A 14,063-nucleotide genomic window follows, 5' to 3' on the forward strand; every position below is an offset into this window, starting at 1 on the left:
TGCTTAAGTCAACTTATGGCCCATATTGAAATCTAAATACTTTTCCATATAACATCCTTTCTCACCATGTCTTAATGGTATCTATGAATGAGATCACATTTATAATATCAACTTCATCTCCATCCTCTTTATGTTCTTTTACAGATACCAGGGACCGTAAATGCTATTTTTTTCTCTCTTTGCCAATGTCCAAGTCAGCCTTAGTTCTTTCAAGGATAAGTGGTCCACAAATATTAGCCATGAGCAATAGCACCTATGGCAGACATGAGCTCCAGATCGCCATCTTCTTAGCTTATAAGCTTCAGTTTTCTCATCTGTAAAATGAGATGATATTAGAATCTAATTGAAATGTTGTGAGGATTGGTTGAGACAGGACTGATTCAATTCTTATGTAGTGCCTAATATACATAGTGAAAATACAGCAAGTGAAAAATGTTTCATGCTGTTGTTGTCATTGTATTTCCTGTCACCCTCTGCCGTCATGTCTCTGGTTCTTAGACTTCTACGTTTTTGCTACCACTTTCTTTCACATTTTAGTGGAGAGGTTACAGAGTTCAAGACCTCGCAAGATTTAATTCACTGTCTACAACCACCATCTATAGACCACCAGCCTGACAAGCATACCAGCAGGGTTTTCAGTGAAGATCTACGATGCAGTAGTTACCATTGGTAAGGTCACTTTGCCATGTCCAAGTCGGCCTATAGCTTGCCATTCTCCCTCCAGAACATTCTTTTCCATGGCAATTCCAGCTCCTTCCTTGGCTATTTTCTAGTGCCTTCCAGTAATCCTATGGCAGTCTTTCATTTCCAACCAAACTGTAGTCCATCCAGAAGGACTGCCAGGATAGGCTTTGCCAAGCTGGAAGCTTGCTAGTAAGTAGTGCACTGGCCATAAAGATGTAAGAGGTTCAATCCAACTGGGATAAGTTGTTTGTTTCTTTTCTGGCACATCTATTTCCAGCCCTACATAATTTATGCTCACGCATGACTCCTGAGACACCTGTCCCTATGACCTCTTATTTTCATGCCCCCTCTGCCATACATACCCTGTTGTCTCAGGAAAAGAAGCTGAGCCCTTCCTCCCTTTTTACTCTCAGTTCTGTACACTTTATCGAATTCTGTGTTCCAAACTATTCAGGCAAGAGAATCCCCATCTTTTAGCCTCAATGATGTCTGAACTCCTACTGAGAGCCAGCCTCTGAGTCCACCTAGTGGGGGCAGAAGATCGGATACAAATCACCGTACATGGCTCTTTTCATGTCATATCTGAGCTTTCTACAGAAACTGATCAGATGAGATTATCTGAGCAATTCCTTTTATCCCTTCTTATTTTATATTAAGCTTTTAAAACTACTTTCCCTCCAGACAAGCATAGGCTTTCCTATTTGAGTGTAATGTAGCCCATAACTAGTAAATCAAAAGCATTCTCTGGTTCTTTCATTCATATAAGCCTACTGAGTGATGCCTTTACTGTAGCATTTCAAATCATGTTCTGGAAATCTACATTCACTTAACACTATATGGCCAGTATTTCATCTTTCAGAGTTACCTTTCCCCAAGAGTCCCATTGGCACTTATGTTTCCCATTCTATGGTTTTCCACCTGAGATTTTAGAACCTTTAAAATATGCTTTCTCTCATTTTAATTGATGGTATAATTTGGGACCACCAGAATCCCTAGCAGGGCTATGTGTCTGCAATGAAGTTTAATAAATATCTTCATCAGGTCTCAATAGCAAGACCAAAGAAGACAGCAGGACTAAATATATTCTCATATAATTATAGGGATAATCTAGAGGTAGGATTGAAAATATACATACACATATACATATAAAAACTATACTTTTAATCACAATGAGCCTGAGTTCCAAAGACAGATGAAAGAGTTAGGGTGGCAGGGAATATAAGAATAAGAATTTTGAAAAGATGACTAGATATTTTCCTTCAGATCCTCTAAATACCTCTTTTCTAGTTCTTATTTTGTATTCATAGGTGAAAATCCCATTTTTGGGAAGCAATGTGCCACAATCCTAGCAAAGTACCATATATATATATATATACATAGAGAGAGAGAGAGAGCGAGCAATAATTCATCAGGTATGTATTGAATAATCTGATTCTTTAGATTAACAAACAAAATTTTATTGTTATTGCTTAAAAATAGCAGAAAAATAGCTTCAGGCTTCTTAAAAGCATCAGAATTGTACCATAGAAAAGTCAGCATCTCTCTTCGTTACTGTCATCTCCCTCATCCTGCCTAGCTTCACAGACTATAATAAAGGAGAGACAAGGCATTTTGTAAATATCTTTGTGAGTCTGTGGACAGGTCTTTTAAAAAACTAAAAACAAATTCTCCTGGAATTACGGGTATGGAAATTGATTTGGCTGGGTGCTAAGATGAGGAAGTGGCCCTCAGATCATTGCGATAAAAATTACTATGGGATGACTGATCATTTACTGAGTGCATATATTTATTTGCATTAGTTAACTACTATTTGCATGCTTTTATTCTTCATTTCATTTATAATCTCCTAAAAGGCAGGAATGAGACCTTGTCTGTTTAGGGTCATATATAAAAGACCAACTCTATAAGACAAAGTGAAGGTTATGCGAAGCTTAGTCACTGTTTCTAAGTAAAACTCTCTTCAAGGCCTTGAGACATGACTTGCATAGTTTCCAAGAAAAAAAAATGTGAAGTAGGCAAATCGCACTGATTTTCACTTTGTGTTATTTGCCCTCTGAGTAACACCTTATCATCATCTTTCTCAGGGGCTCACAGTCCCCAGGTATTTAAATGTCCTCATCAACATCTATTATTTAAAACTTCATTTGCAAAAACAGAAGAATAAAATATTAACCCTTCTGGGGCAGCTTCCCTTTCATCATGGATCAGGGACTTCAGCTAAGGAACAAAGCCCTAACTAACAAATTTCAGGTGTCAACGTATAGGGGAGGTATAATTTTAGGCAACATCCAATAAGAGTCTTCTATGTACATCCAATACCACATCTCGAAGCCTATCGCATGCTATGCTATGTTAGCTTTTTGGCTTCAGAAAGAGAGATAAAGGGGGACGCCGCCCCGCCCTGTAACTATGGTGGGGGCTCCAGCAGTAAACTGTAGATTGTCAGATCACAGCTCTGTGATGTTCATGCTCTGTGACCATAAGCAAGTCACTTACTGTCCTGTGGCTCAGATCCCCCATCCAGTAAAATAAATAATACAATCTCATAGAAATGATGAGAAGATTAAGTATAAGACTTTGAGAGAAGTTCCCAGCATTGAGTAGTAAGCCTTCAATAAATGCTAGCAATTATCACTACACAAGAGTCAGGAGTTTCCCATAAAATAATTGAAGTCAAGGTCTGGAGAGTCACCACAAAGCAGCTTTCTGCTAATATTAAAATTCTGCATTTGTGCTAACACCAACAGTTTGAGTAGGTAAGACAGAGGACTTAGAGATGAATGTTATTTCAATTAACATCTTGGGCTGGGTGCAGTAGCTCATGCCTGTAATCCCAGCACTTTGGGAGGCCAAGGTGGGTGAATCACCTGAGGTCAGGAGTTTGAGACCTGCCTGGCCAACATGGTGAAACCCCGTCACGCCTGTCATCCTAGCTACCCAGGAGGCTGAGGCAGGAAAATCACTTGAACCTGGGAGGTGGAGGTTGTAGTGAGCCAAGATTGCACCATTGCACTCCAGCCTGGGCAACAAGAGCGAAATTCCATCTCAAAAAATAAACTAACCAACCAAACAAACAAAAAACCCCAACAATTTACATCCTGTGGGGGTGGCAAAGTGGCAGCAGAACTCACCTTTAGTAATAAGAGAGGTAGACCCTGTCTCATTCTCCCCAGGAAGCAATGTGGTCCTTGCCTACTAAGAATAATTACTTTCTTTCTTTCCTTCCCCTGGCCCCAACCCCCACCCCTTTCTTTAAAGATATGAGAATGTAAGAATTCTCCACCTATATTAGACCCATGCTTGGCTCCTAAGACCACGCCAGTTTTGATAGTGAAAGTCAAAGACACAACCATAATTGTCCTCCTCAACTTAGCATCAAATATAATGGCTGTTTACCCAACACTATAAATTATTGGCTTACACAACACAATATATTATTGGCTTTTATACAATTATTTATACGTTTTAAAATAAACATCAGGAACAAGTGAGTGTGGAATCTGTAACAATCCCCATTTAATTGGGAAAATCTTTCTTGCTAAGAGAGGGTTAAGAAAAGGCACTTTTAACAAATTCTTCTCCTTGAACGCCCTTTTCTCTCCCTGCTCTCTGTTCCACAGCTGGCTGAGGACTGCAAGCACAAGGCAGGCAGAACTTCAGGGTTGCTGGGCAGCTTTACAAGTTGGCAGCTCTCTTAAGCACATGCGCAACGATCAGGACAATAAAATATTGTTCATTGCTTCTACCCCACAACCAATTAGGTCAGCTGTAAATATTGGAATTGCTTGGTAAACATGCTGGAAGATTGTGCTGACTTGTTAATATAAGTGAAAATGTAATTAGATTTATAACACTTTTTTTCCAAGTCATAATTTACAACAACAACAACAGGAGAAAAAAAATCTCTTGCAACCTGCTGAAATATCATTATTAAAATGCACATGAAAAGTCAATTATGCCAGAGGGAGGTATTTAAGAGAAGTGAGTTTCCATACCGTGGGATTACACCGTGGGGATTACATATTTCTTATTTATTTTTTTCCCTAGATCTTTTCTGCTGCCAAATGAAAAGGAACAGATATTTTACTTATTTCACTCTGAAATATTGCTGCAGATAGTGCTAAGAAGTAAACCAAATAATCTGACTCCCTGGAAACCTACTCAATTCTCTTCAAAGCCCCAGGAAAAGCCGAGTAGTCACCATTCTTTTTTATTTATAAGCCCATCTCGCTTTAAGCAATAGTCATGTTCCTTAAAACATGTGGAAATCATTTTTTTTCCTAAATGCTATTCTGTTTTACACTCTAAATGAGTAGATTATTATATAGAATTCTGTGGGGGCAGTCCTTATGTAAAGATAAGAAATAAGCCCTCATTTTCATTTTAAAATCTGGAGTTTCCCCTGCTCACAGGGTCATAGTGGGAACGCCACTCTACCCTCACTCAAGGATGGTACAGAGTGGCAGGACATTCATGTGATGTCCCAGGCACAGGTGCCACCACGTGCCCTCCCTGGGCAGGAGGTCTTGGTGGCATCATCCCTGAGCCGGGCTTCATCCCATGAGGAGTGTTTGGGGCTCTGTGGGTTAGGTGAGGACACAACCATTATTGTCCTCCTCAATTTAGCATCAAATATAAAGGCTGTTTACCCAACACTATAGATTATTAGCTTACCCAACACAATATATTATTGGCTTTCGTACAATTATTTATACCTTTTAAAATAAACATCAAGAACAAATGAGTATGGAGTGTGTAACAGTCCCGATTTAATTGGGAAAACCTTTCTTACCGAGAGAAGGTTAAGAAAAGGCACCTTTAACAGATTTTTCTCCTTGAACGTCCCTTTCCCTCCCTGCTCTCTGTTCCACCAGAGGGATTCTGTTCCTTCCTTAGAACCCCTCTGTTCCTCCCAGAGGGGTTCTAAGCCCACTTCCAATCATAACGCAGCCAGGTTGTTGCCCTTCTGCTTCCTGGTTTCCTCCTAATGAATGTAAGTGGTATTATATCTCATCTACATTTAAGGTACCAGTGGGGAAAAAGCTAGTTAAAAAAAATCATAAGGCCATGTATAAATGTGAAAGAAGCTGCCATTTTCTGTCCGTCTCAAACTTCTAAAATGTTCTGTTTAGATAATGGAAGAAATATTTTAATGCATTTTATTAGGATTGATAGTGCATATATTGCAGATAAATTACTCTTTAGGGAAAGATTTTGGTGTTGATACATAAGAATCAACCAAAATAAATCACATGTATGTGTGTGTATGTATATACACACATATGTATGACTTATTTATACATACCAATACATACATACATTACATATATAATTACAGATATATAATATATATTACAGATATATAATAGTGTTTTATATATGTTATTATATATAACATATATACATTACAGAGATATATATACACACACACACATTACAGATATATTATATATATACTGGAAGATCTACAATAGCTAAAAATAAGGAGTGGCAAAGTTTACAGACTTTGATTCAAAGTGGCCTTTTAATCCAGTGATAGGGCTTTGTAATTGAGAGCAATGCAAATGACCTTCCAAAATAAAAATGTCCAGTTTCTATTTACTTATTGCATGTAATAATTATGATTAATACCTTTATATTCACATTTTATTACAAGTAAAGAGCACATTAAAATTTCTAGTTCATAGAATAATATTTTTATGAAAAATATTTTCGTGCAGATTAGCTAGCTTTGCTTCAACTGAAATATTGTTTGATTTTATACTCAGTCAAGCCTGGTGCCTGGATTTTACACTGTTTAGGTATAAATATAAATATCCAGAGACCTTCTTTCTAAAAATCCCTGGTTTCAGCTGTTGCCCACAGCATAGATATCTGCTGCCAGGACCATGGGCAACGTGCTTTCTTTTTTCTCACTTGACTTCTGTTTTATTCCTTTGAGAAATTCTTTAATGGATCAGCCTTGGAAACCAGTTTTAAGAGACTTAGAGATAGCCCAGAGGCAAAAGACAATTTGAAGGGATTTTTAGGGCCAGGTCAAGTATCTGCTTGGCTTGTGAGTTTAGTCTTCCAGGAACAGTTCCAGTATCTCCTGCCCACAGCCACCGAGGTCCCACTCAAACTAATCGATTTCCATCATGCATCCCCTAGGCCGACACAGGACAAGTTCTGAGCTGAGCAAAAATACAAAATCTATGAACCCACTGGCATAAGGCTTTGACTTCTCTACATAGATTCTATCTGTGTTTCTTTACAGCTAATTGGGAAAGATTTGGGTGAATGCGTTAAAAAAGAAAACAGACAAGGAACCATCCTGGGTGGCTTTTACATTTTTCTGTTTTTCAAAGTCAAAGAGCTATGTCAGAGGACTCTCAGTCTTTAGGGAATCAGGAATAAGATCACAGAAGAAACATGTTTGTATAATTACACAAGCAGATCATCTCTGTCAACCCTGATTCTATCCCTCCTTCCAACAGTCTTTCAAGGTCTATCTTCCCATCTAGAACCATGTTCTTTCTTGGAGGTAGGGCAGGGTAGGCATTCCTAATGAGGTGCTCTGTCACCAGACATTCTTATCCCCACCTCCAGATCTGTGGCGCTGCCTCAAGTTCTCCTCCTCCTCCCACTTCTTCCTCCTTTCCTCTCCTTCAGTTCACCTTGCAGCCACTACATTTGGTTCTGGTATTTTTTCAAGCCAAGAAATAAGAGTAGAGAAGAGATGAAACAGTACTTTTCAAGGTAGGTGTGTATGTAGGTATGGATATAAAAATGTCAGGGGATAAGAGGCTTCTTCAAACCCTTGTCTAATAATATACGCCCTGGCTGGCCTGTTTCCACCCTGAGAATCACAGCACACACACAAGGCCAGATGTTGGTGATGGGAGCACTGAAGCAGAAAGGAGATGAGGAGACAAGAGAAGAAACGGAGAAGTAGGAAGAGCAACTGGATTCTGGAAAAATAATTTACTATACCAAATTAGAGAATGCAATTATAAAATCAACACTTTTCCCAAGCACCTGATTTCTCTCTAACTCTCTGTTACCTGCACTTAGAAGCACACTCTAAAATAAGCAAAAATGAAGGGCAAAGCAGACGATCCAGTGAACCCAGCAGGGGCTGCAGATTCCTCACATCTGGGCTAGCAGTTGGGGTAAGGATTCATAGAATCAAGTGAGGAAGATGTGAGAAGGGTTTCTCTCCTCAATTCAGTCAAGCCTCTTGCTTTCTCTATTTTATTCCTAAGGATTTCTTAAATCTCTAGTTTTTCCTCTGTTTTTTTTTTTTTTGAGATGGAGTTTCACTCTTGTCGCCCAGGCTAGAGTGCAATGGCATGGTCTTGGCTCACTGCAACCTCTGCCTCCTGGGTTCAAGCAATTCTCGTGCCTCAGCCTCCCAAGTAGCTGAGATTACAGGCGCCCACCACCACACCCAGCTGATTTTTGTATTTTTAGTAGAGATGGAGTTTCACCATGTTGGCCAGGCTGGTCTCAAACTTCTGATCTCAGGTGATCCTCCTGCCTCGGCCTCCCAAAGTGCTGGGATTACAGGCATGAGCCACCACACCTGGCCTAGTTTTTCCATTTTTAATTCTAATCCCAAATCAAGCTACTGTCTTCTCTTCCTAGACAAACACTGAAATATACTCTGGTGTGGTCTTTCCATATCTACACTTGTCCCTTCTTCTCTATTTTTATATCACAGCTTGAGGGATGCATAAAAAATGAAAATGTGAAATACTGCTTCCCTGGAATGGTTTCTCCATGCCCTTAAGAATGAGATCAAAATCCTTAACAATGCCCGTTATCATATAGCTCCTATCTCTCAAAAGCCCTCTAAACTCGAACTATATTCTACCCTCTCACTTGTCCAAATATGCATTATACTTCTTATCTGCCTTGGTCCTGTGTGTATACATAGAATGTTCTTCTGTCTTCCCATCTTTGCCTAATAAATTCTCACTGCATTCCAAGAATATTCCAAAACTCAACTCTAAATACCCCAGATTACCAAGATAAAAAGGACTTTGTATTTTATTAACATCCCAACAATATCTAGCTTCTCATTATAAAGAATGATCTCTTTTCAAACAAAAATATGTCTCTTATGTGGTATTTTAAAAAGCTGATTTAGCAATAAAAGTATTTAAAATAATGCCCAATTAGTTGCAAGTAAGAGAAACCAATTAAAAATAAAGACAAGAAAATTTCTGATAAGGAATTTCAGATCAGAAAAACTCTAAGGGAGAAAGTGATGTTGGCCTTCAGGTGAGACTGGAACCAGGAATGGGAAATCTGTGTGCCCCACCCAAGGAGGCTGCTCTGTCAGCTGCACTCTACCACGGGTCCATGTGAGCTGTGGTGTAGACCTCACCCTCCATACAAAGGCTCTCTTTACCTCTGTAAAGCAGCAGATGGTTGTCCCTGTGCTGAAGTCATATCCCTGCTCACAAACTAGGTGACTAGCTTCTCAGTTTCCCAGTTTCTCATGACAAGAAGAGAGTATCCAACTGACTCAGCTCAAGTCAGCTTTCTGTGTTATATCAGGAAATGGAGACATTGGGAACAAACTTGACCATTGGGTAGGGGATGAAATAGTTCTCAAAGAAGTAAAGGAGTGCAGATATGGACTTGGAAGAAACTCCAAAGGATTTATTCCAAATAAGCACAAGAACAATAGTCATAGTAAATAAATACTTTTAAGCATTATCACATCAATTAGGACATATGTGTATATTTTATATATATAAAATATAATTATACATATATATCTGCCCTAATTGATAGGATAATGCTGAAAAGTATTTACATATTTTATATAAAATATATATTTATATTGTATATGTATATAAATATATAATACATTTTAATACATTATATAATATATGTTTTATATATATTATATATGAACAATTTTATATATAGGAAAATTCAGACTGGCTTTCCTCTCAGGTGAAATTTACTTAGCAACTATGATAGCAAATCATCGGGACTTTGCTGAAGTCACTTTCTCAGATCTTCTGGAAGGTCTACATTGAGTGGGCACCGTAAAAGATTGGTTTATGGCTTGGGTATTTCTTGCATTTTAATAAGGCTTGGAAACTTAGACGTTATTCACTGCAGCTGCCAATCAAGTACTTGTGCAATTCAGGCATATATGTATGTGTGTGTGTGTGTGTGTGTATATATATATATATATATATATATATACACACACATATATGAAATATATGAGATATATAAAAATATATTTTTAGGTTATATATATACCCATATATGCTGTAATTTTATATAAAATTACATGTTTGCCATACCTACTAGGTACTCAGTGGTATAGCACACACTTGTGGTATAAATCTAACCTTGAGAAATGTATGTCTGGTATGCAAGAAAAATTAGCTATCAATTAATTGCAGAATTGATTGAATAAATTAATGCAGAGCATATTTCCATCTAATATTTGTTGAGTGCCTTTGATATGCGTTGTGCTTTCATGAATTTATTAATGAGAAAGCTGTGTTGAGGGATGGGTCAGGTATTGTGCTAGAGATCAGAAAATTGGGGAAATTAATAAGGAAGGCTTCCTGCAGGAGGCAGGTCTTGAGCTGCATTTAAAATGCCGAATGCTTCAACAGCTGGCATTCTGTGATCTGTAGGAATAAGAAAAAAATTAGTACAAAGCAAAGCAAACCTGATTGGCTTTCCCTCAGGTGAAATTTACCTGGCAACTGTAATAGTAAATCACTAGGACTTTGCTCAAGTCACTTTCTCAGATCTTCTGGAAGGCCTGCCTCGAGTGGGCACTGTAAAAGATTGGTTTATGGTTCGGGTATTTGTTACATTTTAATAAGGCTTGGAAACTTAGATGTTATTCACTCCAACCGCCAATCAAGTACTTGCGTAAAAGCAAGACAAACATAACAATAAATGCTAAGCACTCCAGCGTACAGCAACTCTGGCAGGATGTACTGCAGGCTTTATGAATGTATGAGAGTGAATATACAGAAGCTTGGGAAAAGGTCATTGGTATTTTTGGAGCAATAAATCAAGTATGGAAAGATTTGCATTTTGGCTGTATAACATGCAGGACTGGATTAGAGGGAGAGAATACTTTGAAGTAATATTTCTCTGCTGACTTGTTTTATTAGCTTCTTTTAAACATGTTACATTATTGCTTATAGAATTTCATTTACTCGGATTGGCAGCTTGATAAATACGTCTATTGGCGATGATTTGGATTGCTCTGGGCATTAATATTATTAAAACCTGTCACAAGGAAATGTCTGAAAGATGACTTACTGTAAAGATTGCAGCATGAAATAAATCATCCAGTGGTATTTGTTACCATTTATGGCCTCTTGGAGCTGAGTCAATCCCTTTTTATGTTGCATTATTTTTCAAGTTTTTATAGCCTTACATTATATATTGCTGTCAGAAATGAACAGATGGGGTGTCGAACACAGGCTTTCTGAATAATTCCCACCCTCCAGTTATTGGTATGAAGGACAAGTGCAAAACTGCGTTCTCAAGCAAAAAGGAGAGAGAAAGAGGTGGGGAAGTTGCTGTTGAGGAAAGGGATCCCTTTGTCAGATGCTTTAGGCCAATCCCACCAGCTGGTTGGAATCCCTGACTGGCAGTCACCCTGTTTGGGTTTCAAGCAAGAGATGAGGTGGCTGTATCTGGCACCAGCAGCCAAAAACTGCAGTTTTCAAATGCATGTTTTTCCTGAGTGCCTCTTGCTGAGGCATCCACCTCCACATTTGGAGGTAAATGTGTCATATTACTTTTTTCCTAAAAAGCTGAGAAAATAAAAACCTGGTAGAACAAAAAGAAAGATGCACAGAAAGAATTGAATATTCTTTGAGTGAGTGACTAATACTGCAAACATCCTGTTGTTGGGCTTGGGGATGGGACATGAAGGATTCTGAGTAATGTGGATTGCTTTGCAGGGCCCTGGGCATCAATATAAAAAAAAATAAAAGGAGCACCCTGGAAGTTCTCAGCATCTCACAGAGGAGGGAGGAACATGGTGCTCCAAGACTTCCTACACACTGAAGGGCAATGTGCCCTTAGGGGTCATTAGCTGCCGCCACTGACAAGACCGGGCAGCCACTAAACCTTTCGGGAGCCCTTCTACAAAGCTCTGAGGCTTTGCAACCATTGGAGGAGGAGAGAAAGTTAACTCACTAAAAGGCCAGCCAACTGTTTTTTTGTTTGTTTGTTTTTGTTTTTGAGACAGCATCTTGCTCTGTCATCTAGGCTGGAGTGCAGTGGCACCATCATAGCAGACTTGAGCAATCCTCCCACCTCAGCCTCTGGGGTAACTAGTACTACAGTCATGAGCCACCATGCCCAGCTAATTTTTTAAATTTTTGGTAGGGATAGGGTCTCACTCTGTTGCCCACTCTGATTTCAAACTCCTGACCTCAAGTGATCCTCCCACCTTCACTTCCCAAAGCACTGGAGTTAACAGACGTGAGCCATTTCATCTGGCCAAGCCAACCAACTTTTTAAGAGGAGGGGGAAACATGAAATTTTCCTCACCTAGTCTCCACACACACTATGACGTCCATTCTGAGTAGTTGTACAAAGTACTGGCATATTATAGAGGAACAGAAAATAGACACAAACCTGAGTGTCTGGAATTCAAATTCATTGCTCACCATCTTGAGAATTTGAGTGAGTCACTTAATTTCTCTTCATCATAAAATGTGGATAAAAATATTTTTTCCTGCCTACCTCATGGTGTTGCTGGGAAAAGTCAAATCACACACACACACACACACACACACACACACACACACACACACACACATTCAAGTTTACTGGCCCCTACATTTGTCAAAGATAGGTATTTGAGTTACCATGTTATAGCCAGATTCTTACCTTCTCTCCTATAAAGCTCTGCATCTTCACAAGTTTATCAATCTCTGTTACTCATCTCCTCATCCCCAGATCCCTAAATGTTCAGCCCTTTCTCCACCATCTCTTAAAAGTGCTACCTTACTAGGAGCGATTTGCAGACAGTCATCTACAGCCTCTCCAAAAAGAGACCCATTCTCTCTTACCACACCTCTTGACTCCCTTGTCTCAATCATTTCTTCTTTTATGTCATTTCCGAAAGCACCTTTCATATGAGTTTCTATTTGTCTCATTCATGTGAGGATGTCATTTGGATAAGCCCATTTAAAAGTCCATATTTACCAATCACACCTGAAACCAGCAGGGCTGTGGAGGAATGTTTCTTTCCAGGCAAAGTTCACAGCGTTGCTCCTTTTCATTTGAGATCTCATTCTTGAGTAGCACAGAAAGTTTTCTGTCCTTAACCCAGAGACAGAGTGTGTAAAAGGGTGAATTTCAGATAGTTGAGTTTATACAGGCAGTCAATTAGTTATGTATGCAGAGCTAGAATTTCTGTATTCCTGTGAGAGATACCTCTTGCCCCTTCTCTGCCTCTTTTTTCTCATTGCGTCTACAAAAGGACATTTGCATAAACCCCATCGTCCTCACCAAATTGGCAGCACTGAGCCCCCATAGGCTGATACATAAACATTTCACTATTTTTTTTTTTGAGGTGGAGTTTTGCTCTTGTTGCCCAGGCTGGAGTACAGTGGCACGATCTTGGCTCACTGCAACCTCCTCCTCCCAGGTTCAAGCGATTCTCCTGCCTTAGCCTCCTGAGTAGCTGGGATTACAGGCATGCGCCACCACACCCAGCTAATTTTATGTTTTTAGTAGAGATGGGGTTTCTCCATGTTGGTCAGGCTGGTCTCGAACTCCTGACCTCAGGTGATCCTCCCACCTCGGCCTCCCAAACTGCTGGGATTACAGGCGTGAGCCACCAGGCCCACCCGCCACATTTGTTTAACTGTTAAATATTGCATCATTCTATAAAATATGCATTTCTCTTTTTTCTTTCTTCTCCTTCCCTTCCTTTTCTATCCATCTCTTTTTTGCCTTCCTTATCTTTTGCATTTCATTTACTTTTACAAAGATATATTGAATGAGTCATCAAAGTTCTTAGCATCTTCTGAATAAGCATCATGATGTCTGTGTTTCCACATAGTAATTTTCTTGTCTCATGAGAGGTTAAAATTCACCAGGCTGAACAATCAGTGAATTACCTTTTCTTTCCTCTGGACATTTAGCATGAACCAGCCATCAATGTTCTCTCACCATGCTGAGAAAGTTGATGCTCACCAATTTCCTCTTCAGTTGGTGACCTATCATGCTTTAAAGAAGAGACACGTGGCACTAGGCTTGATGTCTGGCTCACTTAGTAACTGGCAGTCATATATTCTTTCCAGGCTAAATCCCCTATCTGTGAAATTAGAGAGAAAATGAGACATAATCATCTAAGCTTTGAACTTTATCATTTACTC

The 14,063-nt window shown here is 39.2% G+C and overlaps 1 protein-coding gene and 1 long non-coding RNA gene across 9 annotated transcripts in view; one reads left to right on the plus strand and one right to left on the minus strand.

Moving 5' to 3' along the window:
* The window catches only part of KCNU1 (potassium calcium-activated channel subfamily U member 1), a 151,752-nt gene that overhangs the window by 84,975 nt on the left and 52,714 nt on the right, over positions 1-14,063 (plus strand). The window contains exon 21 of one of the 8 annotated variants that reach the window (XR_001745486.3): positions 538-650. The exons of the other annotated variants lie outside the window; for them this stretch is intronic. The gene's annotated coding sequence lies outside the window, so the exon portion shown is untranslated. Of the gene's footprint in view, positions 1-537; positions 651-14,063 lie in introns of those variants that run through there. 8 annotated transcript variants of the gene reach the window in all.
* LOC105379375 (uncharacterized) overlaps positions 12,568-14,063 on the minus strand; it is a 43,292-nt gene continuing 41,796 nt past the window's right edge. Inside the window, exon 3 of the long non-coding RNA XR_949672.3 lies at positions 12,568-14,002. This is a non-coding gene — a long non-coding RNA (uncharacterized LOC105379375). The remainder of the gene's footprint in view (positions 14,003-14,063) is intronic.

This window comes from Homo sapiens, chromosome 8 (genome assembly GCF_000001405.40).
Source record: "Homo sapiens chromosome 8, GRCh38.p14 Primary Assembly".
Lineage (NCBI taxonomy): Eukaryota > Metazoa > Chordata > Mammalia > Primates > Hominidae > Homo > Homo sapiens.